Source organism: Homo sapiens, chromosome 13, assembly GCF_000001405.40.
Source record: "Homo sapiens chromosome 13, GRCh38.p14 Primary Assembly".
In the NCBI taxonomy this organism is placed as follows: Eukaryota; Metazoa; Chordata; class Mammalia; order Primates; family Hominidae; genus Homo; species Homo sapiens.
In genome coordinates this window covers 44,328,454-44,333,774 of record NC_000013.11, presented here as the reverse complement: position 1 = coordinate 44,333,774, position 5,321 = coordinate 44,328,454, and the positions used below count along the sequence as shown (strand labels likewise).

Sequence of the window (5,321 nt, the reverse complement as noted above, 5' to 3'; positions counted from 1 at the left end):
CTGTGCTCAGATTCTAATTCTGTAAAGAGACTGTGAAAGGGCACCTCCTGTCTTCTCTAGGCACCCCCCTATTTCTTTCCTTTGGGAAGAGAATATATTTTCTGAATTAAAAATATATAAATGTCATCTTTGGTCTAAATGGTTATGAATACTGGACTGGAAAAGTCCATTGTTCTTCTTTGTTTCTGCTTTTTTTCCTTTCCGTGGTCAGCTTTATATGGGCAGCTCTGCAGAGCCATGAACTTGGACCAGGGTGCCTCAGCTGTTGGGGCTGCTAGCGGGGATGGGCAGAGTTAGTCAGGAGCACACAGGCTCCCGGGCAATGTGTGTATCAGGTTGTTATATGGCCTACCTGTGTGCTATTTGGGTCCACATCTAACATACCAGTCTCCTGCTGCTGTAGAAATGCAGATGTGGGCTCAGTATATCTTCCTCCATTCAACAAAGACACGCCTGCCACTGCCAAGCCCAGTGCTCACTGTGCCCCAAGTTGGAGATAATGGGCCAATGATGACTTGGAAACTTGGTAGAAGGAGGAGAAAGCCAAGCACATTTATTAAAATCCTGCTCTGGGCCAGCTGTTTGATATTTCTATTTCCTTAAAAACACCTCCAAACTACTTTGTGAGATTTGACATACCTACTTATGGACGGCCTACGTAATGGGTGAGAAAACTGAGGGCTTGATTAGTTAAATCATTTATCCAAGATCAAACAGCCAGTAAGTGGCTTAGACAGGATTTCAGCTCAAATCGGCCTGATACAAAATCTCTACCATCTCTATGGTCTTACAGTGGAATTGGGATATTGTATAATAGAATCCATCTGATCTGGTAGGAGAGCAAAACGTTTATTCAGTGAAGCTTCTTCTGTTAGACAGAGCTAAGGGCAGCCATTCCTCTCTGTATCTTGTCTGCAGGGGACATTTGCAGGGAGTAGGTGGGGAGTGAGATGGGTGGGAGCTGCCTGTCACTCGCGGGCCTTCCTCTTTTGGGGTAATTCTCTGCTGCACTATGTCCTGGCTGGAGGCAGCAGCAGCAGCAGGGAGGGCTGTTTTCAGAGGCGTGGGGCCTCCTGTGACTGCAGAACTGGCTCCTAATTGGATCATCCCCTTGGTGGGTTCTTGGCTGTGTGCCCAGCTTCCCAGACTAACTGTTCTCTAGTCTTCTTGCCAGTAGCCTTCTAACAAGCCCCATTTCTGCTTAGTTTAGCTCAGTGAGTTTTCGGTTGTTTGCAAACCAAAAACCCTGACTGGGCCATCCTCCTGGATATCTCTGCAGACCTGCCGCACACAGCAGCCAGGATGCAACCTCAACATGTGGGAGGTGCAGTTGCCTTTTACTCCTCTCCACTCTCCCTTCCCAGACTCATTTGTCTTTTGGTAGGGAAGGTACACAGTCCAGACTCCTCTCATTTTCCCATCAGACCCTCAGGAAAGACTGAAATGTATTGTATTTATCTTAAAGTGAAAAGGCTGATAAGAGCTTTAAATAGACTCCTAGGGGAATTTGCAATTTAACAGGACAGTAAAGAAACCCTAAAGGCAAAGGGCTGAGCTGCATCTGTGGAAACTGAGACCCCCCCGGAGACTTAGGAGGTTTCTTTTTTGAAAAGGGGGCTATGTTCCAAGACTCCTGTGGCTATGACTAAGCAGGCCCCTGTTGGATCCCAGCCCAGGATATCTGTGGAACTGCAGAGAACCTCTGAGAGCCAGAACGTTTGCTGGAAGGGCTTGTTTAGCTTCTGACAAAGGAGGTGGTGGAGGGAAGCCATGGTGAGAAGAGCTTGTCTCACTTCCACCTGCCATGAGGTGTGCCACTAGGGTGGGATTTGAGAGCATTCTCACTTTTAATCCAGACAAGCCTTTCCTCCTTCAGGGACTACCCCAGGTGGTCTTGACTGTAAATCCTGTCTGTGAAACCCCAAGTAAGTTTCTGAAAATATACAGGAGAGATGTAGAGGTAAACTATGGGTGAAGCCGAGTTTCTGTAGCATGAGTACTATTTTCCATTCACTGGAGTACTCTTCCAGGCACTGATAGGGTGACAGAGGTACCACATCATCCAGGCACTGATTGATAGGGTGACAGAGGTACCACATCATCTCCTCCCATGGGGAGGCCACCAATGAGACACCAGCCCTCTAAGGGGGTGGTGATGGGTGACGGGAAAGGAGATTTCTCTCTAGGGTACTATCTATTACCAGAAGATTTCAAAATCTCTGTATCCAGACTCCCTCTACACACGGGCTGTGGAAAAGTGACTCAACCACTCTGAAAACCTCAACACAACGGAAACCTCAGTTTCTTTTTCTGAAAAATAGGCAAAATAATGACATTTACCCCAAAAGGCTATCGGGAGGACTCAGTGAGATAATAAAGCTCCAGAAAGGCATTTAGAAGATGGTAGAGAACTATTCAAATGTAGATTCTGATGCCAGATTATTTTAATGCTAAACTGAATGAGACATCCTTCCTAATAAAGACAGCTTCTTCTATATGGTCACTTCTGAGACTCTGTGTCGGTGGCTTTTTGTTTTTTTTCCTGTTACCCGCAGGGAAAATAGAACTTCTCAAACCCCACTTAGTCTCCTTTTACTCTCTTTGACCCAAGGGTGAGAAGAAAGGGGCGGGTCTGCCCTGGGAATGGACGCTTAGAGGAGAGTGCGGGAAACTGGGTTTTCAGAACTAGAATTTCACTGAAGAAAAGGATGACATAATGGTTAGGTTTAAGTTTTTGGAGTAGAAGCCCGAGGGGAGAGCGTCTCTACAGTGGGGTGTAAGCTCTGTTTCATAGTAGAAGGGTCAGGCTTTGCCCACAGTCATTGGAAAGCTCTGCACTCTCACCTCCCTGGGAGGGCTTGTGATTCCGATCAAGGGGACATGGAGGATCCTGGCATTGGATCCTAAATCGGGGAGGGTGTTCTCGTGGCTACAAGCCTCAAGAAGCCAGAAGGCCCAGCCTGCGCACCTTTTGGAGCAGTGATTAAGAGGATGGATTTGAGGTTTGAACAATGACCTTGACACAAGTTGTATGAAATTGAATGTTACTTAACCACCACAAGCATCATTTTTCTCATCTGTTAAATAAGAACAATATTAGTACCTGCCTCACAGGTTGTGAGAATTTGTGAATATGCATGTAAAGGACCTGAAATTGTCTATAAAGCATGTAAGTAGGGTGACCAACAAATCTGGTTTGGCTGGGTCTGAGGAGCTCCCAGAATGTGGGAATTTGCAGTTGTAAAACCAGGGCAGTCCAGGCAACGTGGGACAAGTTGGTTATCCTATATGTAAGTGCTAAATATGCGGTAGTGATAAAGTCATGGGCCATGGCCACAGGGATGGAAATATGAGAAGGAGCCTTGCTTCTTACAGCAGACACTGACCCAAGGCACCTGTTTGGGGAAATCCCCCAGTAGCCCACAGTGAGGGAAAATTGGTGGCAGCCTCTCATGAGGCTGGGACCCTTCCATGGTGGAAGAACACAGCTGGAGCAGCCCACACAGCAGGCTGCAGGGGGACAGTTCTACCAGCAGCTCTAGGGAACGCAGGTCCAGCCAGCAAGGGTGGATCTGGGCTGTGCACCAGCCTTGCTAGTCTGCCCCCGATCTGCAGGGAAACCAGGGCAAGCGTGCTGCTTGTGGCAGGAGTGGGCCACTGCACTGGAGGCCTTGGGGGCAGAAGCCAGCAGAACACCAGGAGCTTTCTCCGAGGGCCGCAGCCCCACAGCCTCCTGGACGGAGATGGGCAGGCAGGTGGTCTGCCAAGAGGAGGTCTTCAGAGAAAACACAAACAATCTCTGAATGATTGGTGACTTGAAAATATCGACAGGGGAAAAAGAAGAGTTAGACTCCTGGACTGAACGTTGAAAGACCCCAAAGCTCATCCTCACCTCACTGTCACCGTGTGCTATGGCCTGAGCAAAGTCTCTTCTTCTTCCTGGGGCCCCTGCTCTCCATCCATGAACTGAAGATGTGGGTTGGCTCATCCCTGGTGGCAGTGCCCTCAGCTTTAACATTCTCTTACTCCATGATGCCCCAACTCAGGCGGAGGGTGCGGGGCAGACCTGTTTCCTTTCACTATTATGGAATATGTGAGTTCTGGATTTAAAAATATGTATTCTCAACTGAGGAGGAAAAGTACTTTATAGCACAGTTTTCAGCCCCGCCCCCCTGCTTTTTCTTTCTTTTTTTTTAATTATACTTTAAGTTCTGGGATACATGTGCAGAACGTGTAGGTTTGTTACATAGGTGTAGATGCACCATGGTGGTTTACTGCACCCATCAACCCATCATCTGGGTTTTAAGCCCCACATGCATTAGGTATTTGTCCTAATGCTCTTCCTCCCCTAGCCCCCCACCCCTTGACAGGCCCTAGTATGTGATGTTCCCCTCCCTGTGTCCATGTGTTCTCACTGTTCAGCTCCCACTTATGAGTGAACATGCAGTGTTTGGTTTTCTATTCCTGTGTTAGTTTGCTGAGAATGATGATTTGCAGCTTCATCCATGTCCCTGCAAAGGACACAAACTCATTCTTTTTTATGGCTGTATAGTATTCCACAGTGTATATATGCCAGATTTTCTTTATCCAGTCTATCATTGATGGGCATTTGGTTTGGTTCCAAGACTTTGCTATTGTGAATAGTGCTGCAATAAACATACATGTGCATGTATCTTTATAGTAGAATGATTTATAATCCTCTGGGTATATACCCAGTAATGGGATTGCTGGGTCAAATAGTATTTCTGGTTCTAGCTCCTTGAGGAATCACCACACTGTCTTCCACAATAGTTGAGCTAATTTACACTCCCACCAACAATATAAAAGCATTCCTATTTCTCCACATCCTCTCTAGCATCTGTTGTTTCCTGACTTTTTAATGATCACCATTCTAACTGGCGTGAGATGGTATCTCATTGTGGTTTTGATTTGCATTTCTCTAATGACCAGTGATGATGAGCTTCTTTTCACATGTGTGTTGGCCACATAAATGTCTTCTTTTGAGAAGTGTCTGTTCATATCCTTTGCCCACTTTTTGATGGGGCTGTTTGTTTTTTTCTTGTAAATTTGTTAGATTCTGGATATTAGCCCTTTGTCAGATGGGTAGATTGCAAAAATTTTCTCCCATTCTGTAGGTTGCCTCTTCACTCTGATGATAGTTTCTTTTGTTGTGCAGAAGCTCGTTAGTTTAATTAGATCCCATTTGTCAATTTTGGCTTTTGTTGCCATAGCTTTTGGTGTTTAGTCATGAAGTCTTTGCCCATGCCTATGTCCTGAATGGTTTTGCCTAGGTTTTCCTCTAGGGTTTTTATGGTTCTAGG

The 5,321-nt window shown here is 46.3% G+C and overlaps 2 annotated features.

Moving 5' to 3' along the window:
* Positions 503-1,002: an enhancer, noted in NCBI's record as "H3K4me1 hESC enhancer chr13:44906909-44907408 (GRCh37/hg19 assembly coordinates)". NCBI's record gives its function as "activates a minimal SCP1, AML or CMV promoter by ChIP-STARR-seq in primed H9 embryonic stem cells {active_cell/tissue: H9 hESC(primed)}" and the evidence as "EXISTENCE:reporter gene assay evidence [ECO:0000049][PMID:30033119]".
* Positions 3,597-4,098: an enhancer, noted in NCBI's record as "H3K4me1 hESC enhancer chr13:44903813-44904314 (GRCh37/hg19 assembly coordinates)". NCBI's record gives its function as "activates a minimal SCP1, AML or CMV promoter by ChIP-STARR-seq in naive H9 embryonic stem cells {active_cell/tissue: H9 hESC(naive)}" and the evidence as "EXISTENCE:reporter gene assay evidence [ECO:0000049][PMID:30033119]".